The following is a 24,244-nucleotide window of genomic DNA, read 5'->3' on the forward strand; positions in this document are numbered from 1 at the left end:
CCCAGGTGGCATATTCTTACAACAGAATATTATCATCAATGAAAAGGAACAAACTCCTGCTATAAATGAAGTGACAATAGGCAAATCTCACAGACATAGTTTGAAGCAAGCAGCCAGGCACACAGAGGTCATTCTGTATGAGTCCGTTGATACAAAGTTCAAACATAGGCAAAATTACTCTGTGATATTAGAAAGACAGGGTAATAGGCTGGGCGCGGTGGCTCACTCCTGTAATTCCAGCACTTTGGGAGGCCAAGGCGGGTGGATCACCTGAGGTCGGGAGTTTGAAATCAGCCTGGCCAACATGGTGAAACCCTGTCTCTACTAAAAATGAAAAAATAAATTAGCTGGGTGTGGCGGTGTGCCCCTGTAATCCCAGCTACTTGGGAGGCTTAGGCAGAATTGCTTGAACCTGAGAGGCAGAGGCTGCAGTGAGCCGAGATTGTGCCATTGCACTCCAGACTGGGCAACAGAGCAAGACTCGGTCTCAAAAAAAAAAAGAAAAGAAAAGTGGGATGATAATTGTGTCAGGTAGGAGGACGGGTATGGGGATTGGGTGCAGGCAGGAAGGAGGGCGTCTGAGGTGCTGGCGGCACTGTATTTCTTATGGGGACAGTGGTTGCACAGCATGCTCTTGTCTGCTTCATTGAGCTGTGCACTTTTCTATGTATGCTGCACTCCACTTACTATCTAAAAAATAACTGAAATATTATCATAGAAAACATAGGGCTAAACAGCAAATAGAATCTTTACAGAGGAAAGAATGTATTGCTATTCCCCATCAGCTTCCTTCTCTCTGCCCCTGGGCAAGTCCTGGGAGGAGCCTGCAGGAAGGCTGGGGCCCTCCTAGACCTGACTTGCCCCTTGGGGTGGCCCCTGATGCTCTGGATAAAGCAGCCTCACGAGTGGGGCTGACTCTGGGGGATCCTGGGGCCCTGGGCTTTCTTCCCCCACCGGCATGATGTAGGAGGAAGCCCTCTTCTGAACTGTTTTTGGGGGTTCATGCCAGGGACACTTGGTGCTGATGTGAAGCAAAAGATAAAGAACAGCCAGTCCGGAGTAGGTGGGGGCCTCATAGCAAAGACGCCACGCGACAAGGGATTTCATCACCCTCTGCCCATTCTTGTGACCAGAGCCGTGTGCTCTTCTGAGCTCAGTCCCGTGGCCTGGAACATGCGGCCCTCACCACAATAGCAGGAGGGTGAGCCTAATTCACAGGTGGGAAAACTAACCCCAGGAACCTTAAAAGATTTGCATGGGTGCCCCCAGGATCACCCCCAGCACATCAGAGGTGACTGGTCTCATGGCCTGTACAAAGGGCTGCTGGGCTGACACAGTGACATTCAGAAGCAGAGAGGTCCCATGACTGGCTGCAAGAACGGCCAGTCTATAGGAGGGCTAGGCATCCTGTCCAGAGGCCTGTCTCCCTAGAGCTCTGGGGTTCCATGTGGCATGTCTGTTTGGAGCAAAGGGGTCTTGTGAAGCCCTGTGTAACTCTCTCAGCTCCCCAGGCCCTCTGCCACACCTCGGCTGCAGTCTTGGCTTGTGTTCCCAAATCCTACTTGTCCTCCAGCCACATGGAGAGCCCTTCCATTTTCAGGAGTCCCAGCTCCCAGCAGGGCTCTGTCTGTGCTGGAACTTTCTTTCCCACGTTCTGTCAGGGCTGATACCAGCGTATGCTTCCTGTTCTCTCAGGAGTTGGGTGTGTCTTAGTGATGACTTTTTCCCTGCAACACAGTCTAAGGGAGCTCAGACCTGGTCTCCTGCCTGTCCCAGAAGGCCATACCAGGTGAGGTGGCATCAGGAAACCTCTTGGCGGACATGAGAGGTGCAAGGAAGACCTCAGTGGAGCACTGGACCCTAGGAGCTGAGCTCAGAGGGACATGTTCCTCCCTAGAGAGGGTTCCAATAGGTCTGCAGGCCACTGCCATCTAGAAAACGCCAGCCGCTTCCTCACAGCTATGCAGGGGCATTTCTTGCTCCAGACCAAGATATTAGGCAGGCATGAGCCCTTCAAGACAATCTGATCCCCTGCTCCTCCCACAGACGAATCAACTAAAGCCCAGATGGCAAGGTAGCCTCAGGTATACAGGGTAGTAACAGCCTTCCTGGGCCTGAGTAGCTGAAGATGTAGCTGCACATGTGTTTTGCCCGCCCTGCACTGGGAGGCCCCAGCAACTTGCCAGCCCTGGCCAGCAGGCTTATACTGTGTGGTTGCAACTCAAATGCTGCTGTGAAGCTGGGGGTTCGTGCAAAAGAATGTCAGTTTCTATAGAGAAGTTCTTTAGAACTGACTGTGTGTTCTCTGTACTCCTAGTGCCCTAGACCAGGGGTTCCCAATCTCTAGGCCGTGGATGGTCCATGGCCTGTTAGGAGCCGGGCTGCACAGCAGGAGGTGAGCGGCGGGCACTGAGTTCTGCCTCCTGTCAGATCAGCAGCAGCGTTAGATTCTCAAAGGAGCACAAACCCTATAGCGAACTGTGCATGTGGGGGATTTAGGTAATGTGCTCCTTATGAGAATCTAATGCCTGATGATCTGAGGCTGAACAGTTTTGTCCGAAACCATCTCTGTTCTGCTCCCCCACTCCCAGTCTGTGGAAAAACGGTCTTCCAGGAAACCAGTCCCTGGTGCCAAAAATGTTTAGGAATGCTGCCTTAGACTGTTGCCAACAGGTGGGGCCCAGGAGCCTGGCAAGGAGATGCAGGCTGAGTCTGGGTTGGCCACGTGCACACATCTCCTAGGATGGTCCAAGGGGAATGTGAGCACGGGGAGGGTGGAAGCCACAGGATCGGAGTGGTCAGGTGGGGTGGAGGGGCCACAGGGCTGGTAGGCCTATGAGACCCACGTCAGGGCATGAGGCAGGGTCATGTGGCAGGGGCATCCTCCTTGGGGCCTATGGTGGGTTGAGTAGTGTCCCCAACCCCTCACCAAATTCATGTCTATTAGAACCTCAGAATGTGACCTGATTGGAAAATAGGATCTTTGCACATATAATTACTTAAGGATCTTGAGATGAAATCATCCTGGATTTACTGTGGGCTTGAATCCGCTTACTGGTGTCCTTATGAGACGAGGAGAAGACATGGGGGACAAAGAAGGAGGCCCTGTGAAGATGGAGGCAGACACTGGAGTTACATTGCTGCAAGCCAAGGAATACCAGGAGCCACCAGAAGTGGAAGAGGCAAGGGCCTGGAGACTTTGAAGGGAGTGTGATCCTGCCAGCACCTTGATTTCTGGCTTCTGGTCTCCTGAGTGGTGAGAGCACACGTTTACGTGGTTTAAAGCCACCATGTGATCATCTCTCATATCAGCCCTAGGAAACCCATGGAAGGTCCTTATTGCACTCAGGGAGCAAATCAACCTCTAGTACCCTCTAGGCCTCAATGTGGCCACCTGCTCTGACCCCTGGCCAATCATTTCATTGCCAACCCCAGCCTCATTACATGGACAGGATTTAGGTGGCAAGTGGCAGGTGGGTATGGGGAGGGGGTGAGGGGAGAGACCTTGAAATGGCAGGTTGCAGGCTCAGTTGGCCCACTCAGACCCTCTGCAGTTAGCACAGAGCTCGCCACCTCAGAGCCCAGGCATAAATATTTGTGAGTTGAGTTATTCCCAGTCAAGACTGATGCCATTTGGGACATGGACTGGGCCAGGGGTGTGCAGATGAGGCATAAAAGTCATCCCCAAGCTGCTCTGAAAACTGCTCTCAAAATGTGGCAGCACCAAGTCCCCAGCCCCAAAGCAGGTCTCCAAGATACTGACCACAACTGGGAGGCTCCCCTCAGCTGCCTGGTCTTGCTCCTGGTGTTTTGCCAGGGCTTAGCAAAGAGCCTGGGAACACACATCCTCCAAAACCAAGGCCCACTCAGAGCCACAGGGTAGCCACTGAACACAGAGTAAAGACCACCCTCCTTCTGTGATGGCCTCCCCTACAGCTTCCCTGGCCCTCCACATTCCAGCCACGCTGGCCTGCCTCCAGCCCTTGATTACAGCAAGCGCCTCCCTGTCTCCAGGTCTCCTGGACATCTGGCTAGTTCCTCTCACCTCCCTGTCTCTTCCTTTACATTATCCCTCAGACAGGTGCCCTACCCATAACTACCCTATCTAGAGTAGACTGCCGCTGTTTTCCTATCTTTCTCCCTAGAACTGTAAGTTCTCCAAGGGCAGGAACCACATCTGGCTTTGCTTACCATTAAATGCCAGCAGCCTGCCCAGTGCCCCACACATGGAACGTGCTGGGTAAACAGTTGGTGGGTGAGCAGTGAGCCTGCACACCGGTCCCTGTGTCTGGGACACCCCCTGGAGTTGCTTTTGTCCTGCCCCTTCCACCAGCCCAACCTCCTTGGAGCCCTGAGCCAGCTGGTTCTCTCCTTTAGCTCAAATCCTGGGCCTGGTATTTGTGATCTGCATTAATGGCCTTGAGGGACACTTCAAGGTCTTGAGTCCAGAGACCTCAGAAGGTCCCTGCTGACTGTTGCCTGAAACCCTTTTCCTAGGAAAATATCTCTGAAATAGGTGGGACTTAGGAGGCAGATAATAACAGTAATAAAATCTGACATTCCCTGAGCACCCTGCCTCGCACTCTGCTAAGCCCTTTACACACATTTTCTCCTTGAACCCTCAGAACAATGTTTCTGTACAATTACTTCCATTGTACAGATGAGAAAACTGAGACTCAGAGAGGTAAATCTGCCCAGCTCTGCAGGATTCCCAAGCTGAGCTCCCTAAAAGCTGCTGCAGTCCTGGGCCAGGACTCTTCTATGATTTGGGCTGAATAGCTGGAACCAGAGAATAAAAGTGGAAGGCTGTGATGGACAAGCAGACGGAAGGGGAGTGGCCAGGGAGGGGTTTTCTTTTCTCCTGAGCTACCAGTTGAGGGTCTGCACTGGCAAGGCCCCCTGTTCTGGACTAGGGCAGTCCCAGCCCCCAGGACATGAAGAGGGGATATAGATTTTGGAGGATTTGGCTTTTCCAGGGCATGGGTTGGGTCTCAAAGGAGCAGGTCATGGGGTTTGGGTCAGGACTTCTGGGGAGTGTGGTGGCTGAAATTTCACTAGATGAGTTGTTGACAAACCTGGGTCTGAAATCCAAGGTTCTAGGCTCCCAGACTAGAGACCAGGCCAGAGCCTGGCCTATCAGGTGGGTGGAACTGGTCAGGAATCTGAGCACCTATGTTTTCCCCGAAGCATGAATTCATAGAGCACTCATGATGTGCCAAGCCCCATGTAAGCTCTTGGGAATGGCGGATGAGTGAGTCCAGGGGAGGCAGATGAGAAGAGACATGGGAAATGCTTGGTGGGCATCTGTGGTGTCCTTAAGGCCTCTCTGAGCAGGGGACACTTGAACTGAGTCTTAAAGGAGTTTGCCCAGAAGATGGGAAGGTAGGGCCTGAGGAGGGGCTTCCAAGCAGAGGAAACAGTATGTGCCCTTCTGTGGGCACACATGAACACGGCCAGGAGCACCAAACCACATGCTCAGGCAGTGGTAGAAATTCCTGAAACACTGGGGCCCCAGAGGAGTCTTCCTGGTAGATCCTTGCATGTTCCAGGGTAGGAAATCTGTGGCCATTTGGGGGAGAAGCCACCAGTTCTGGTTTCTGGCCAGCTCACAGTTGCATTGTTGAGTTCCAATTAACATTCACGGAATAATTGAAATATGTAATTGGAAAACTCAAAATGCATTTTAATCCCATTAGCAGCAGGATCATTTCTCCCATACGATTCTTCTTGGGGGTGAGCTGGAGGTGCAGCAGTGGCTCCTGTGGGTGGGAGCAGAGGTCTTCCGTTCTGGGAATGACAGCCATCCCCTCTTCGTGCCCTGGGGGCTGGGACTGCTCTGGTGTACCCTGAACAGAGACCTGAGTTGCTTCACCAGTGAGTGAAGCCTGCTGACTCCATCTGGTCAATGGGAACTGCCCTGAACCCTCACCTGGGCTCAGCCCCATTGAACCAGGGGTTTGTCACCCTTGCCCTAGTTGTCTGAGGCCCTGAACTACCGCTCTGAAAGGGTCTGTACTGACCTTGTTACCACAAAGAGCAGAAGCCCCTTTCCCAGGAAGACAACTTTCTCTAAACAAATACTACAGTCTTGCAATGCTCATCTGACACTTGTCTCTTTCCAAAGAGATAGCCATTAACACTTGTTAAGTTCTGAGAAATGATTTGGGAGCAGAGGGGCATGGAATGTCTGTTAGCACAAGGTTGGGGCCCTGGGCTGGAGGAGATGTACCCCACCAAAGTAAACATGCCATTGTTTTCTCACCAGGCACAAGGGAAACCTGCTGCTCACCTCTGAGAGCTGCTCATTGGTGACAGAGATTTTCAAGAGTGGTGGTGGAGAAACTGGGTGTCCTGAACCGTTTGCATCCTAAAGGTGTGCTGCGCTTCCTGGGGTCCTCTGGGCCTTTAAGCCTAGCGTGTGTGTGTGTGTGTGTGTGTGTCTGTGTGTGTGTGTGTGGCAGTGTTCTCCAAGGCTCTAACGGGGCCATGCCGTGCCTTGAGACTCCATCTGGTGGGGCTGGCCCTTGTCCAAATGGTGGACAGTGACCTGGGCCCTGTCTTGGAAAGATGTGTCCATTGGCAAGTGACAAAGAAAGCAATACAAGAGACACAGCTGGTGAGGAGTCTATTACATGGTCCAGATCCAGGGGGACAGTCTGCTTTCCACTTCTCTCTCTCACCTTCTTGTTCATCCCAAATAATGCCAGACACATGGTGGCATTCCTTCCTATACAGACCTGGGGCAGCAGATCCCCAGGGGTAAGGAAATTCTAGTGCTGCTTGGGGTAGAATTGAGAGCAGGCCCTGGAGATGTTTGACCATAAGGTGCATTTGCCAGGGGCAGTGGCTCATAGAAACCATTATGAGGAATTGGACAGTGGGCTGTTGGCTCACAGCACTGCATGGGTGTAGGGCAATATATTGGTCTGTTCTCACACTGCTATAAAAAACTACCTGAGACTGGGTTATTGATGAAGAACAGAGATTTAGTTGATTCACAGTTCCTCAGGCTGTACAGGAAGCATGGCTGGGAGGCCTCAGGAAACTTACAATCATGGCAGAAGGCAGAGGGGAAGCAAGCATGTCTTAATATGGCAGAGCAGGAGAGAAAGAGCAAAGGCGGAAGTGCTACACACTTTGAAAACATCAGATCTTGTGGAAACTCACTATCATGAGAGTGGCAAGGGGGAAATTTGATCCCATGATCCAATCACCTCCCATCAGGTCCCTCCCCCAGCATTGAGAATTACAATTCAACATGAGATTTGGGTGGGGACATGGAACCAAACCATATCAGGCAAAGACCAGGAGACACATGTAGAAGGCAAGATGTTATCTCCACAGATGTGGGAGGGGGCTGCCCAGCACTGTCCCTTCTCTCACGCTGATCCAGCCCCAACCTCAGAGAGACCATCTGCAAATTTGGAACTCCAAGCACATCATAAGGAGCAATTCTCACAAGTCCATGCTCCCAGGTCAGACTGCTGCTAATCAAAGTGTTGCTTCCTCTAATTAGAGTGAGTCAAGTCATTAAAAACACTATCCTTCAATTGTTGGAGTGTGACATTTCTTCTTGATCCTAAGACAGATGCCCCTCAGGGCAGAAGTGGGACTGGAGGGAGGGGAAGGAGTGGGCAGAGGGCAGCAGTAGTTTTGCTGCTGACGCCCTGCTGATGTGAGCAGTGCCTGCCCGGGCAGTCTCCTCCCTCTACATCCTTGCCATTATCCTCTTCCTCTTCCCACTCAACCTGTGCAGACACAGCCCCTGGCATGTGCTGCTCTGGAACCACTCCTTGGACTCTGCCTTGGACACTCGCTCTTTTTCTTAAGTCCTTGGGCAACCCTCCTGGAGAAGATTCAGGCATCCAAGATTTGGATGAACCCCCACAGGCCAGTCTTCTTGGCATTCTCTACTTTGAAATGATTATAAACTGTCTCAAGTTGGAGAGGATGCTCGGTGTCAGATGCTGGAGGATATCTGACATGGTCCTTGCCTTCCTTAACATATTAGCTTTTTGCTTGGAGGAAGTCCTGGGGTAGGGTAGGGGAGTAAACAGACCCACGGGAAGAGACAGGCTGAGTAGGGTGTCAGGGTGCTGTGAAAGGACTGGCTAGGGCACGAGACCTAACGAGCAGGCAGAGGTGCTCAGACTTGGTGAGGTGGGAAATAGGGAGCCAGCGAAGGCTCTGGAGTAAGTGGGCACAAGATGATAGGTGATGCTATGGAAGCCCCACTGGGCGGCCCTGAGAGTGGTCAAAACATGGCATTGAGTCAATAGGCACACCCTTGGTGTTGCCCCTTCTATGCCTGGCTAGTTCATGAGGGAACAGGGAGATTTGCACAAAGTTTATTTGTCTTCTGATTATAAATGGGCAGGGCACTGTTTGAAAGAAGAGAGAGAAGTCAAGAAATATTTGTAAACAATGAGAAGAGAAGCGAGAAGACAAATGGAAATCTTGATGGAGGTGGCACTGCTAAAATCTTGTAATAGTAATAATATTTCAGCTTTGACCAGTGTCCTGGCAGAATGAGGGGAACACATACAGCTCAAGTGAGGTTCAGTCAGGTGCCAGCTGGCTGGGACCCTAGCCTTTCCCTGAAGGCTGCCTCTGGTACCAAAGGTTCTCTCTGACTTGGGCAGGAAAGGTGCCCCATTCCCTTGGCCCTAAAATATTACCCTCAGAACTGCCATGGAGTAGGATCTGAATTCTCACATTTTCCTCTTAACAGTTCCAAAGGAATGATTTCCCTGTTTCCTCCAAGGCCAAGGGCATGTCCTGCCACCACAAGGAGCCTCCCTCACTCATCTCACGTGATCTTCCTCTGTGAGGAAGTCACACAAAGCTCCCAGCTGTGGAGTCAGTCAGTCACACAAAACTCCCTGGCGAGTCAGTCTCTGAGGATCACTCAGACTATGAGGTCCAATGGCTCCTTCGCTGCCCCAGCTGCACCCAGCTCAGCACCACCTGGCCCGGTTTGGTGATTCACTTTCCATAAACCTCAGGATGGGCCTGCAGGCTAGGCCACGCCCAGGCATAGACTTTGCCAAGACCTGTCCACTGGGCTGTCAGCACTCTCAGGGTTGACCACTTGCCCAGAGCACGAAGTCCTAGGAAGGGAGCTGGATCGGTGGCCCCACCTGCCAGGGCACCAATAACTAAGCTCTGTGCCAAGCCCTGTCCTGGGTGCCTGAGCACAGCAGAATCTGACCTGCCCTGTGTCCATGGCACTTGCAACCTAGGTGTGTGTGTGACATGGTCACGACACAAGGCTGACCTCTAAGCATCCCTGGGTGTGATGTTGTGCAGTGCTTAGGAGCCTGGGTTCTAATCCCAACTCCACCATTTACTGACTATGCAACCTTGGGCAAATTTCTTAACCTCTCTGGACCTCAGTTTCCTCTTCTTTAAAATGGGACTCAGAATCTGCCTCATAGACTTTTAGTGAGGACTGAATATGTGAAAAGTATTTAGCATGTATCAGGCACACGGTTAACACTTGCTAGGTACTAACAGAGAGGGACAACGGACCTTAGAGCTTTGGAGGCCCTACCCAGATCTCCACATTCAGGCATGTAAAAACACTTGCAATGAGACCTAACTTTTTCTGAAGAGATCTTGTTTCTGTGGAGCACGTTTTTGATGTACATCCACCCGCTACAAGTTAATCGCCTCTTCAATCTTGACAAAAACCTTTCTTCTCACCCATAGGCTATGGTTCAAAAGGCTTAAAAAGTCAACTCATGACCCCTGTGGCTCTCTGGAGCCCATGGATGTTGCCCCAGCTGGAGGCCACATCATCACATTGGGGACCCTCCACTATGCATCTGAAGCAAGGTAGGACTGCAGGCAGGGGACTTAGGGAGGGCTTCCTGGAGGAGGTGGCATCTGAGCTGGCCCACAGTGGACTGCAAGGATCCTAACAAGCAGATCAGCCTTCTTTGCTGCTTTTTGGAAACAATTTTGTTTCTCTCTGTTTTTACTTTAAGTGTCTGTGAGCGTCTGGAAGTTTTAAGACACACTGATCGCCTCAATGCTGCCCTCAGACCACATCTCTCCATGGGGCTTGAATGGAGAATTTTCAATCCCATAAAAAGAAAACCTAATTTGAGAAGTACTGATTGTAAATATCATTCTGTCTCTCTTACTTAAAAACAAACCCTTGACTCTAGGCAGCCCCTGCATTGCCTGGTTGCATTCCCATCTTTATGTTCACAAGTCCAAATACCAGTGCTTTTCAGGCAGAAATCCTCTGCTTTCAGTGTGTTAAAGCTTTGTAGGTTGGCCGGACGCGGTGGCTCACGCCTGTAATTCCAGCACTTTGGGAGGCTGAGGCGGGTGGATCACAAGGTCAGGAGATCGAGACCATCCTGGCTAACATGGTGAAACTCCGTCTCTACTAAAAATACAAAAAATTAGCCAGGTGTGGTGGCGGGCGCCTGTAGTCCCAGCTACTCGGGAGGCTGAGGCAGGAGAATGGCATGAACCCAGGAGGTGGGGCTTGCAGTGAGCTGAGATCGCACCACTGCACTCCAGCCTGGGTGACAGAGCGAGACTCCATCTCAAAAAAAAAAAAAAAAATGCTTTGTAGGTGACTATTCTACCGAGGAGGTGAACACTATTGCTGGGAGTCTGTGAATGACAGCTGCATGCACATCTCTTAAATCAGCAGTGGCTCAGGATGCTACCTGGGTGCTGGCCTATGATGGAGGCCGCAGTTGGGTCATTTCATTTCCTAAGATGCAGGCATAGGCATCCCAACCAGCTCAGCCCTGGATCTGCTTCTCCCCTGCCCAGAGCTTTGGATGGCTGTTCTTGGCCTCTCATTCCAGGCCTCTATAGTCTGACTGACCTGACACTGTGGTCCCCACTGCCTCCTGCTGCCCGCACTCTGCTCTAGGATGACAGCAGTGCCGTTTCTTGAATGTATTCTGTGTCCTCCAGCCTCAGTGTCTTTCTTTGCTCCCACTGTTCTTCCTGCCCTTTACTCCAATCACACACATCCTTCTGGATGCCATTCAAATGCCAAACACCACCTCCTCCAGGGAGCCTGCCTTCCATGACTGCCACATCACAAGCACTCTGCATCTCTCCCTCATGCCTTATCCCCAATCTCCTGCCTCAGGAAAGCAGAGAAAGGCTGTTTGTTTTGGACTTGGACTTGCCTGGATTTAATCCCAGCTGTGCTATTGCCCAACCTCAGTCATCTCATCTGTAAACTGGGGTTACTAATAGTACCTGTTTGAGGACTGAACTACATATAATATAAATGATTTAACGTAGTGCCTGGCACAAAGTAATGCCTCAGTAAAGAACAATTATTATTTTAAAAAATGATTAATGTATTTTGAGTATTCCAGCCCCACCTCTTACTAACTAGGTAGCCCTGGGAGTGAGTGACTTAACCTTTCTGAGGGTGGGGCTTTGCGGACTCTGCAGGCCTTAGATGAGAGTTTTGGAGACAGGCTGCAGGGGCCCTGTAGTAGAGGCCCCTCTGTCCCGGGGGTCCCCCATGGTGGGACAGGGAGCCCCAGGCACCCTCAGCAGCACAGCCAGGGAGAGGCTGCTGCCTGCCCCTCCCAGGCCTGTCTGGGTCTGCCCAGGCCCCACTCCTGGCCCGCTCACTGAATTGAACTGTTTGGAGCGATGTTGCTGTTCATCTGGAAACAGCTTCATATTCAGTACCCACAAGACCAAACACAGACCCTGCCCAGCCACGAGGGGCTCAAAACCTGTCACAGTCACAATGCTCAGAGCCCCCAGCAAGAAACTCATCAAGATGAAGCACCAAGCTTTTAAAGAGCCTCTGCCTGAGCCCCTTGGCCCTGGATGCTGGGACAGAGCCTGCCTAGGGAGAGCCTTTGTGTCCTGGAAAGTGAAGGTAGACCCAAGGCCCCAAGGTGCCTGTGAAAAGGGCTCTGGCCTCGCTTGACTGACCTATCCGAGTGGCAGCCCCTGTCAGGACAGCTGGACAGCGCTGGAGGGGGCATCTGGGGACTAAGCATCACTCCATTTTTCTGGGTCGCATGTCCACCTTGAGAATTATTCCTCGGTTACAGGAAAACTGTCTGCTCTCTTTCTACAAAGACTGAGGTGAGGGTCTGTCAGAGGCTGCTCTCCATACCCTAGAGGTGGTGCTGTGCCATCCTCCCGTCTCTGCAGCCTGGGCTCAGAGGCACAGCCTGGCCTGGAGGAGGCCCTTGGGCAAGGGAGCTCCACAGAGTGTATGCCCCTCTTTCATGCAGCATTTCTCAGGAGCAAGGTCAGATCCCAGCTGCCCTTGGGAACTGGGATAACAGTGGGAACCTTGGGGGCTGCGAGGTCTGGAGCCTCAGGGCAAAGCAGGGCAGAGCTGAAAATGAGGTCACAACCCCAACTGCCCCGCTATTGATCTGCCCACCTTTAGCAGGTACTTAATACTGAAGGAATTATATTCTTGAATCCCCACTCCTAATCCTTCTTCTGAGCCTTTCTCTTGCCTTGAAGTAGAGCCCTTTCCTTCTCTATCTGTCCAAATATATCCCACCTTCATTCTTCAAGATCCAGCCTAAGCCCATCTTCTTCCAGGAAGCCCAGATGGTTCCACAGCACCTATCATCCCAACCCTGTGGTTTAACACTTGATATTTACATACCTCCTTCTTGCCTGGGAGCCCCACTTCCCTAGATGGGTCAGGAGCTCCTGAGAGTGGGGCCTTGGCTGCCACTTTCTCCCCTTCCTGAATGAATGACTGCATGTGTCTCCCTTCCCCAGGATCCATGCTGAAGGAAAAGGCCTCTAAGACACAGGGCAGAGGGGCAGGTGTCCTGCTGTGGTAGGCACCTGTCTTCCAGCTTGCCCAACTCTGGGACTAGTCCTGCAGCCTGTCCTGGCACAGATGTAGCCCAAAGCCTGACATTCTGCCTCCAGAGCTGCCCAAAGACCAGCACCAAGCCCTTAACTGGTAACACAACCTGATGGTACCATGTCTCAGTGATGGGTGGGGGGACTTATTTCATCTGGCTCAGCCAGGCACAGAGTTGTTTATTTCAACTCTCTTTGGCTGTCAGTTCACTTGACGAGAAACAGAAATGAAGCAATGACTTCTGAAACAAAAAGAATCTTGTCTCAATTGCATTTGTATTCAAATGGGCAAAATAAATTCCAGGGCCTTTCTGAGAGTGTGCCGGGAGTGAGGCCTGCGTGCAAAGTGGGTGCTGATGGCTCTCCATCCCCGAGAGAGTGGCCAAGATCAAGAATTCAGCCTCAGAACAAACCTTCGGCAGCCAATCTGTTAGGCAGCTGCCCAGGTGCAGCACCAGCAGGGTGTGGCCCCTCGCAAAAGCAGCCTGATGATTAATTACTGTGTCTTGCCATCCAGGACTGTGAGGAGGAGAGTGAATAAACAACAGGGAATTTTATGTACCCATGATGAGCAGGAGACAGGTGAGACTGTTTGCTGCTCTAAGTGAACAGAATGTTTGGAGCTGCATCAGAGGGCACTCGCAATGCCTGCACCTCTGCTGATGCCCTCTGCCGCCAGCACTGGGCGAATGAGGAAAATGGAGCTGGGGGCAGAGCTCCTGTGAGGGCCATCGGGGAGTCCTTGAGCCTCTGTGGCATGGAGATAAGGCAAAGCTTCCAGCCTGGGTCTTCCCTCTTCATCTGGCATCCCTGCTTCCCAGCAGGCCAGCAGCCTTGGGGAGGGGTCCCACACGGGCGACTGGGGCCCCAGGGAGTTGTACTTTCCACTGGGTCTGTGGATTATGACATGGCTATCTGAAGCCCCTGAATTTTAGCTCTAGGCATTATGCCTAGGCTGTGTGGTCTCCTAGGATGAGGTAAAGCAGGAACCACAGCAGAGGGTGGCATGTGGCCTCCAACACAGTCCCCGCCCCTGGAGCCCTCTTGGATGGCTCTAAGCACTGCCCTCAGCTCAGTGACCTCAGCACACTTGGGGATGGACAGGCCGGCAGACAGGGGCCCATGGCTCCAGGCCACCTGCCTTTGGCCCGCGGTCCCTCGCCTGCAATGTGGGCTGCTTCTTTTCAACATGACCCCCTGTGGGACCCCACTGAAATGACAATACAGCTGAATGCTGGCCAGCCCGTCAGGGAGGAGATCGAGCCCAGTGAGTCCGCAGTGCTGGGCTTCCCACTCTTGTGCCGCATCTCCCAGCCCCTCAGTCTCCCTAGAGCCTCCGTCTCCGACTCCCCACCCATCTCCTGAGCCTGCGCTCAAGGTCACGTGCAGCTCTCAAAGACTCAACCGCCCACTTGGAAGCACTTAACAATCCGATTACAAAAGAAGTACAATGGGAAGGGGGAAAGTATGTTGGTGAGACAGGAGACACAGGAGGGGAGGGGAGTTTGGGGGAAGAGCGGGCCGTTGAGTCACACTAAGTGTGTGGTGCCTCTAAGTAATGACCCTTGGACCTCTTGGTCCCCTTGGACCTTAGGGACTTCTGAAGACCTGGTGCTGGAAACCTCATGTCTGGAGGCGTGGGTGGGACAAGACCCTCCCCAGGGCAGAGTAAATTGAGGGGAGCAGCGCACCTGAGTGTCTCAGACAGGCCCTCCATCTGTTTTTGTAAATCAGGTTTTACTGGAACACAGACACATTCATTTGTTTACATTTTATCTACAGCTGCCTCACGTTGCAATGTCAGAGTTCAGTGGCTGTGGTAGACACTGTATGGCTTACAAGGCCTAAGATGCCTACATCCTGGCTCTCTACCAAGAAAGTGTAAGGGGCTGGCAGGGGAAAGGAGCTCACTTTCAAATAAGATGGAGAACAGGTGGCCAAAAAGGTGGAGAGCAAATGAGCGTCTCAAGGAGGGAGAGGTCCGGAGGGCCTGATCTGCAGAGAGGTCAGACTGGATAAAGATAGGAGTGTTCTCTGCCTAAGCCAACCGCAGGGCAAGAGTGACCTGTTGCAGGCCTCAGTTCCTGTACAGGTGTAGGGGAGGTGGGGAGGGTGTGGACGGAGCACAGAGGGAAGCCAGGGGTCAGGATGAAGGCCATGGAGTTGATGAGAAGAGCCAGCCTTTCTGAAGATGCTTGGCTAGTTCAGTGGGAGGGGAGAGGGCTGTGGGCCATAGGGTACATGTTTTAATCAGCAAGCCCTGCGATTTCAGACCTAAGCCTTGAACACTTTTCTAAAATATCAGAGACTGCTTTCCTACCTTGGTTACAACTGTCCAGCAGCTTCCCAGACTTGGCCCTGCCAGGCCTTGAGTCTCCACCCAGCCCATGGAGATGGGCACTGGCAGATGGAGGATCGCAGAGAGAGGGGAGTGGCAGACCAAGGGCAGACCCTTGGGGTCGTGCTGCCCTGGTACTTCCCGAGCCTGGGTCAACTCGCCAGTTCTTTCTCCATCTCTGACCCCTTTTCCACACCAGAATGCAGAAAACAAGTCCACCTTGCCATGCAGCCTTCTCTGACCCGTGGCTCCCAACCCTTCCTCCTGGGGCTGCACTAGCCTCTGGGTTCTCTTTGTGGCACAAGAGCTCAGACCACCAGGCCTGCCTGGAAGGGGCCAAGGGGTGTGAACCATGCCCTTTCCTCCAGGCCCCAGTCCTCCTGCCTCTACATGCTACCTCCCAAGGCTGTGCCTCCCTGCCCCTACCTCGCACAGCTTGAGCACAGTGGCCGCTCCAGGAGGGGTTGAGTCAGCCCACTGGCCTCCTGGGGTGTGCCATCATGATTCATCACAGTGGTGCCACAGCTAGGCCTGAGGCCCACCTGTGAATCAAAAAAAAAAAAAGAAAGTGTGAAGTAGCAAACTCATCATTTGAGACTCTCATGCTTCCTGAGATGAGATGATTCCCATTAAAAAAAACCTTCATTTTCAGAAAATCCATGTTCACAGCTTGCTCTGTAGAGCCTGCCCCCACAAGTTATGATTTATATTTTATTATAAGGTGAAAAGAGACAAAAAAAAAATCCTCACAAGGGAAAAAAAAAAGCCCACTGACTCTTTACAGCAACTCCCAGGGCATTTGATTTAAAGGGACATTGTCATCTTTAATGTTTTCATTCCGAGGAATTAGAGAGCGCCACTGTGATAATTTAGAAGCTCCTGATTTAAGGGGCAGCCTTCGTGGTCTAGCTTCACTGTATTTCCCTTTTTATGATTCCAGAGAGTATTTTCTGAGAGATAACAATGTTGGGTGATATTTCTCCTTCGTCAGGTGGAGGCCTGAGAAGAAAATTAAAAGAGATCCTTTCTTCTCCCCTCTGTGGGGCCAGGCTATGGACTGCGGAGGACCGTCACAGCCACCTCCCGCCACTCCATCTCCACAGGGCCTGACCCTGCCTTCCGGCACCCCCAGAGCTAAGAAGGAGAGGCAGGCGGCCATCTTGGCCCTGTGGCGAACTCTCGGAATGGTCTTCACTGTTCAGCTCCTTCTCTCCCAACCGCCACCCCACGCAAGGGCCACAAGAGCCTCCCAGAATCATCTTTCTTTTTGTGCCCTTTTCTGTTCCCACTTTTGCATCTGTGTTCAGGTCTTCTACAGTCTCTGGAGTTTCCTAGTCCTCACTCTTCCCTGTGGGTGTCTACAGGTCGGTCCTCCTCAAACTGACTTTGACCACACCCTCCATGCTTCCCTGGCTTCCTTGACATGCCCAAACTCTGTGGCCTGCATGTCTTTGGCAGAGAATGCTCTGTGTTCACCTCAACCTGCATCCATTCCCTCCTGTGGACACAGCTGGACTACATTTCCCAGCTCTTCCTGTAGTTGAGGCATCCATATGACTGAGTTCTGGCCAGTGGAATGTGTCAGGAGGGATGGGTGCAAGGGCTTTGCTGGGCTCCAAAACAGCTCCTGCAAGCCTCTCTACTCTCTCCATCCTACTGTATACCGGCCAGATGCAGCATCCAGTAAAGGAATCTGAGGCCCCAGGAGACGGAAGAACCACATCCTGAAGGTGTCCGAGTCCCCATGTCACTGTGTGCACAGAAACTGAACACCAGCCTTGAGCTGTTACAGGAATGGAGAACAAATCTTTGCACTAATAAATATTGCACTAAGCCCCTGAGATTTGGGGGTTGTGTGTGATTGCATTTAGCTCCCTAACACACGCCCTTGCTGTTATCGTTCTAATCCCTCCCTCCTGCATCATTTCTTCTCTTTTATTTGTCCATGGCACGGGACGAGTTGGCCATATTAGATGGTCTGGAGCCTTCCCATCTGTTCTTACGCTTAGGCTGTTGCCTCTGACTGGGATGCCTTTTCCCACTCCCATACCTGCCTGTGAAATCCCATCGTGCCCTCCTTTGTGAAGACTAATAGCATTATTTTGCTTAGCTGTGTTACACCCTCCTCTCAGTTTCCATGGCGTTCTTTTGGCAACCGTCCCACAGCCTTTTGCCTTGTTTTTGCACACGTCTTGTTTTCCCATAGAAGAGTGGACTCCCTGGGGCCAGGGACCAAATCTTACTCATGGTCAACCTGTCTGTGTTGGAAGGTACTCTGTGTGGTGTCCAGGGTGTTAATTTTGGAGGACATCCCCTGATTTGAGTTTCATCTCTACCACCACGTGCAACTTTTTGATGCCTCCGTTCCTCTTCTGTAAAATGGGCATAAAAAGAGACCCTGCCTCAGAGAACCTGCTCTCAGGGAGAAAGGGAAACCCCCGTGCATGCTCCACGTGCCACCCACCGCCCCTCTTTGCTGCAGTCACCTGCTGACTCTGGGTTATGCCCCACCCCATTTCCTGTGTTGTAGCCTATGGCTAACAGCAGTCTCCCTTATATGCCACCTGTGTAAGTGCCAGGTGATTTAAACATCCAAGTTGATTACCTGCCAACTCTCCACCTTACAGGTGGCCATATCCTGGAGTCCAGACACTGTCATTACAAATTATAGCAGCCTGAAAACTCATATCTACAGGCATCCTACTCTCTGATCACCTCCCATCTCTTCTGGTTTATTCTGTCTGGTATCCAGACTCCAAGAATTCTTCAGCCCCACCGGGAATCTACTGACCAACTGTATGCCTGTCACCTGTGGTGATGTTGCTTCCTCCTTACCATGGAATTCCATGGAATTTAAATCACTGGAATGATACTGTTGCACACACTCAATTCCCTTACCCTCTCTTGACAACCCTCCAGCCCTGGTGAAATCTGTCTGGGTGCTGTCTGCTTATACCCGGGTAGCTGAACATGCTGGGGAAACGGCCACCCTGCTGACTAGTCTCACTTTGGATTCAGGACTAGGGCCCTCAAGTGGGTCCCGAAAGCTGCCCAAAGATCACTCCGCCTCCTCTGCATCTGTCCCTCTTTCACTCTCCTACACAATCGTTCCCGACCTTCTTCTCCCTCCTCAGACTTCCACATCTCTTCCCTTATCCTCACGCTCAGCCATGACCTTGCTTCCTGATTCACTGAGAAAACAGACGTCTGCACACGCACCCACCACACCGACCCACCCATCTCTGTCGGTTCACACTCTCAGGCTTCTTTCCTGTTAACTGGGTCTGCCGCCCATCCATCTAAGACAATCCCCAACCTGGGCCCTGGATTCCACCTCCCCTCGCCTACTCAAAGAAGTCATCTGGTTGTACTGCCTCTTCCTTCCACAGCCTCAGTTTCCCCTTTCTACTTGACTCTGCTCATCCACAGACATGCCGGTTGCTCACGTGTGTTTGCAAAAGCCTTCTTGGCCCTGCTATCCTTTTAGCTACTGCCCTATTCTGTTCTTTGCTGCAAAACTCCTCAGAAGATTTATCTTCATTTAGTTTCTCCAGTTCCTTTCTTCCCACTCCATCTTAAACCCAATCCAATGAGACTTTTGTACCCTCTCCCATCCCACTGCGTGGAAACTGCCTTTCAAGCCGAAGACCTCCAAATGACTAATACAAGTCTCTTTTCTTTGTCCTCATCTTAACTGAGCTTTCAGCACTTGGGACAGCTGACCGCTTCCTGACTCACTCTTCTCTTGGCTCCTAGGACATTGCACTTGCCTGGGTTTCCTCCCACCACTCTGGCATCTTCCTCTCATTCTCTTTTGGGGCTCCCACTCCTCTTCCTGACCTCTTCCCATCAGAGGCTCTTAGGGCTCTGTCTTGGCTTCTCTTCTCTATCCACATTCACCTACTCAGTGATCTCATCCAACTCAGAGCTTTAAATGCTGTCAGTATGCTAAGGGTTTCCAAGTTTCCATCTTCAGCCTAGCCCTCTCCTCGTCTATCCAACTGCCTGTTCAACACTGCCACTTGAATGTCTGATAGCATCTCAAACTCAGTATGCCCCCAAATTAACTCCTGATCTTCCCTCCCAAACCTCCTCCACCCATGGTCTCCTCTGTCTCAGTTAATGGCAACTCCATCCTTCCAGTCCTCATGCCCAAAACCCTGGAGTTATCCTGGACTCCTTTCTTTTCTAATAACCACATGCAACTCATCAGCAAATCTCTTTGGCACCGCCCTTCAGAATATACCCATGATCCAGCCTCTCCTCACCACCATCGTGCCCATTAGCTGAATTATTGCAACAGCCTCCTAACTTGTCTACATGCTCCTACTTTTGCCCTGTAACAGTCTTTTCTCAAAACAGCAGCCAAAGTGCTTCCTTTAAAATATAAAGTCAGATCACATCCCTTCTCGACTTGAAGCCCTCCAATAATCTAGTTTCACCCATTGTGAAAACAAAAGTGCTTAGGTTAGCTTCCAGGGGCCCCCAGGACCTTTGACCCTGCCCCCAGCTTCCCATACCACTCCTACCATCAGACCTATTTTTACCTAGGGGGCTAGGACACATCTTCCCCCAGTGACTGCGTGGCGAGTGCCCTCACCCCTTCAACACCTGGCTCACATAGCCCCTCTGGATGAGGCTTTCCCTGGGCTATCGTATTTAATTTTGCCCACCCCTGCCCTGCCCTGCCCTACCCTGCCCTCTGTGTTGCTGTTCTCAAAAGTACTACCCACGTTGTAATCTACGCATCCATTGTTGTTTATCTGTGTCTCCTCCCTGTAATACAAGTTCCGTGAGGGCAAGAGTTTTTGTCTGTGTTGAAACCTGTTGAATTTCTGCAGCCTAGAACAGCTCCTGCCAGGAAGTATTTGTGTGAATGACCGCACACTGCCTCCAGGGCTAAGCACTTTTCACCTGCAGGCCTGCCTTGGGGGCTGGGGCTGGTGGGCACACTGCAGCCTCAGGTGTAGGTTCTGAGGGGGCACCTCTAAGGTCACATGGGCAGGGAGTACCTGCCTACCTTGATGGTATCAGGAAGTCTTCCAGAGTTCATAATTGCACCCTTTGATGGAAGGCATTTTGAAAAAAAGCTCTCTACAGGAGAAAAAAGGACAATTTTTCATGTCAAATAGTGTTACCAAAAAAACTGATTTTGCACAAATGGTATCCTACGTGCAGGATCTCAAAGCATTTTGCAAATGCGTATTAATTGGTTATTACAACATCCCTGCCAGACAGAGGAAGAATCAACCTCCTGAATAAGAAGAGAACACTTGGTTTTCATGATTAAATCAGGCACAAAGATGGAATGTGTGAGCCCCAGGGTTCCAGGGGCAGAGGAGGGTGCTCCCACCTGTCCTCAAGCCAAGGCTCGGTGGGACTCGTGGGTGGCAGGTGGCCTCATCAGATGTGCTGATGGAGTGCTGGAGCCATCATGCATGGGTTGGAATTTTTGGTCTACTGGGTAACCGCAGGCAATGACTTAATCTCTCTGTGTCTCCGGCTCTTCACCTCTAAAATGAGACACGTGGTATCTTTTCATAAGGATTGAATGTCACTAAATGAGATAATGTTAAGCTGCTTAACACTCAGTCAATGTTATTAGTAATAACAAATGTCACAGCACAGCCACCAGCCACAGCCTCCTGCTCCCTGCCTCCTTCATGAGAATCCTGTGCACCTGACTGGCCCCAGCTCTCACAGAAATCTAGAGTGGGCATATGAAGTCTCAAGAAGTGCTTGCCAAATTGGGTTTAGGACCCCTGAGGCCTCACTGTAGTCCCTCCTGGACTCTGCTGGGTAGCACAGATTCTAGAAGCCAGGGTGTTTCTGATGGGCTGGCCCTTGTGGGACAGGATGCCAGGTGGGGTGTGCAGCGTCGGGACCAACAGTCCCCCATCCCTCATCTGGACCAGCAGTCCTCTATCCCTAGCCACTGGTACCTGCCAAGTTTGAGGCACCCAAGGGGTCTCCCGAAACAGACGCTGGTGACCAAGATTGTCTAGAATGACTTGAGAGGCAGCATAGCTTAGTAGGTAAGAACACAGGCTTGGAAGCTGAACTCCTGGGTTCAAACCCTGCCCTGTAACTCTCTAGCTGAGAGGTGGGCAAGTTACTCTAGCATGGTGCCTCTGGGCCTCATCTATAAAAAGGGGATAACGATAGTTCCTCTCTCATAGATTGCTGCAAGGATTAATGAATTCACTTAGAACAGCTTAGCATCAACTATGAATGCTGTATGATTACCTGAAATTAATTATGTGGCTTCAGAGGCAAGCTCTGCAACACATGGTGAGCCCTGCAATGCTCTGCTCCTTAGGTGTGTGATACCTGTACACCAGGTGCTGGGCAAGTGTCTGCCCATCCAGCCAACACTCCATCGTGGGTGGGCTTCCCCACTGTGGGCCCTGGACTAGTTTCTTAGTAATCAACTTGCAGACAGGATGACAGGGCCAGGCTTGTCACATCACCATTCTTTTCCCAGGGCTCAGTCCAGAACTTGCCTGGGGCAGATGGTAGGCATGAATGGATACATAAGAGCAAATATTCACCTGTTGTGTTGCTTCAATTTGGGGCGTTTCCTTAAACTCCTGCCTACTCAGAGCTGAAGCCCAAAAGCTTCCTAACCTGTTGGCTTTGTGACTTCAAAGACCATGTCTGTCACATCTGAGAGCAGGAAACTCAGCCATGGTGCTGATTCATGTGGCACCTGCGGGGGTGTCTCAGTTCGCTCTGGAAGCTTACTGCCCTCTGCAGAGAACTGAGGGACAGCCACTTGCCAGGCCATTCTCCCTGGAAGTGCCCATGGCATCAGAACATCTTCATCTGAGGATCAGGAACCGGGGCTGGAGACCAGGAGGCCAGTCCCTTTGGTGAGACTGAGGCCCCGGCCAGAGCCTTTGTGGTTGTGCCATTGTAAGGACCGCACTTCTCCCCTGGGATGAGGGCTACTCCCTGCAGCCTGGGCATCTTGGTAGACATTTGAGGTTACAGAGCTTGTAAGGGCCTGAGCCTTCTGAGACACTGTTTTCAAAAGGAACAGGTTGGGTGCAGTCAGTCTAGTCTAACACAGACTTTTTAAAGTCACACTGCTCACTCTGGGGCCTGGGAATATTTCATCTGCTCAGCTGCCTGGCCAGGGCTGCTTACAGAGGGGCTGGGGCCTGTGGTCTCAAGGGCAGGGATCATAGGCTTGGGCTGAGTCCGGCAAGATCAATTACCTCTCCTGACTTCAAAGGGAGGTGCACACATGAGTGTGAAGGCTCAGGAAGGGCCTACATGGCCAGATGTCCCCAGTCTCTCTCCTTATGTCCATTTAATGCTGAGTTCCTCCCTCCTCTCAAAAACCACTACTTCCCAGAGCCCTTAACCAGCAGCACATCCAGTTGCTTTGAGTTTCCCCCACCCTGTGCTGTCTCTGCTTCCCCTTCACATGGGCTGCCTTCAAATTCTAACCAGGCGGCGGCTGGCAGGTGGGAGGCAGGGAGGCTGTGGAGAGTCTGGCATGAATTTTCCAAAGTGGACAGTCAGCCTCTGAATGATGGAGAGCTGACTCTGGGTCTGGGGGCCCTGCTCAGCCCAGGCCTTTATTGTTAATTTAGAGAATTCGAGGGAAGCATCCAGAGGGGAAGCCCACTGGCATTCCTTTCCAATTAGAAGCAGCTACCAACTGCTTCTCCAACCAGCAGAAGCCAGAGCTCCCTGAAAGGCTGCCCCATCACCGCTCCTCCTTGTGTCTGGGAAGGTGTGTGCACATCTTTAGTTGAAGGCAAGGGGAGATAGGTGCTCTGTGATTGGGGGGCTGGGGAGGGTGAGACCCAGGAAAAATGAGCAGAACTTTGAACTGCATGGAATACAATTAGTCGGTACACTGTCTACAGGGCAGACATCTGCATTTAGCCTGAGACACACTGGGTTGCCTCCAGGGCTGCCTTTAAGGTGTGGCCACTATTGCTCCTTTTCCAAAGCCCCACCTTCCTCACAGCTGGCCCTTCTGCCACGGAACATTCCATATTTTCTGTGTTTTCCCAAACTCAGAAGCCCTTAGCTTTACCAGGAAGCTCTGTCCATCGCTTGGCCACCATTCACAGGACAGGCATTCTGTAAGTGCCCTAAGCCCTCAAGCCTCAAGGGTGTTGGTGGAGGCCCGGGATGCAGGATGGCCGGATCCAGCTGTACCTTGCACCTACTCTGCTCCCTCTGCACTAGGGGACATGAGGAAGGAGACATGGTGGCCACATCTCCCACAGGGACACAGTCTGCTTGTTACCAAGTCTGCTCTTTCACTCAGCACCTCCAGGTGTCAGGGGTGGCAGGGCCCTGGGCTAGCTTTGTTCTAGAGCTTTCTAGATGCTGAGTTATTTAACCTGTAGTACTTTTAGGCCCCGTTCCCCACCCAACCCTGTTTGTTCTGTCTGAGCCAACCAGGAGTCGACTCCACTGCCCTTAAATCCCCTACTGTGCCCTGAGCATGGAGCAGTGGCCTCCCCAGCTGTGGCCTGGTACAGTTGGCCTGGACAGTATTCAGCCTGGGGCTTCCTGCGAGCTCCTCCGAAGGCTGTCAGCCTTCACCAAGGTGTCAGCAATTTACCGAGGGATGGGTGTTTCGAACACCCATGAAAGGCAGGGATGTGACTTCTGTTTCCAAGCCATCGTTTCCCTGATGTTGAACCTGCTGCCAAGCATCAGCACATTTCCAAGCACCATGGCACAGAGGTAGACTATTGAGGGTCAGGACCAACACCAGGGCTGGAAGTGGCTCAGAAGAGGAGTCTCTGGAGGTGCATTTATTTGTGGGAGCTGAGAAGGAGTGGATATTTGATGGGGTTTGGGTTTGAGAGAAAGCAGCCCTCCACGGGACACCTGTTCTGAATAACAGCTCTGCTGCTCGGGCCCCGCTTTCTCTGTGGAGCCGGAAGCCCTGAGCTTTGTCAGGAGGTTGGAGGCGTCAACTGCTATGGTTCTGCAGGACAGTAATCCTGCTCCTTTCACACTGTCATCTGAAAGGGACCCAGGTGAAATGTGTCTGAAAACACCTGTGGCACACGGACTTCAGGACTCAGA

The 24,244-nt window shown here is 51.8% G+C and overlaps 1 protein-coding gene across 4 annotated transcripts in view; it reads right to left on the reverse strand.

The window, feature by feature from the left end:
* Positions 1–24,244, reverse strand: part of FSTL4 (follistatin like 4) — a 645,613-nt gene that overhangs the window by 80,369 nt on the left and 541,000 nt on the right. The gene's annotated exons all lie outside the window — the stretch shown is intronic.

This window comes from Homo sapiens, chromosome 5, assembly GCF_000001405.40.
Source record: "Homo sapiens chromosome 5, GRCh38.p14 Primary Assembly".
Classification (NCBI taxonomy): Eukaryota; Metazoa; Chordata; class Mammalia; order Primates; family Hominidae; genus Homo; species Homo sapiens.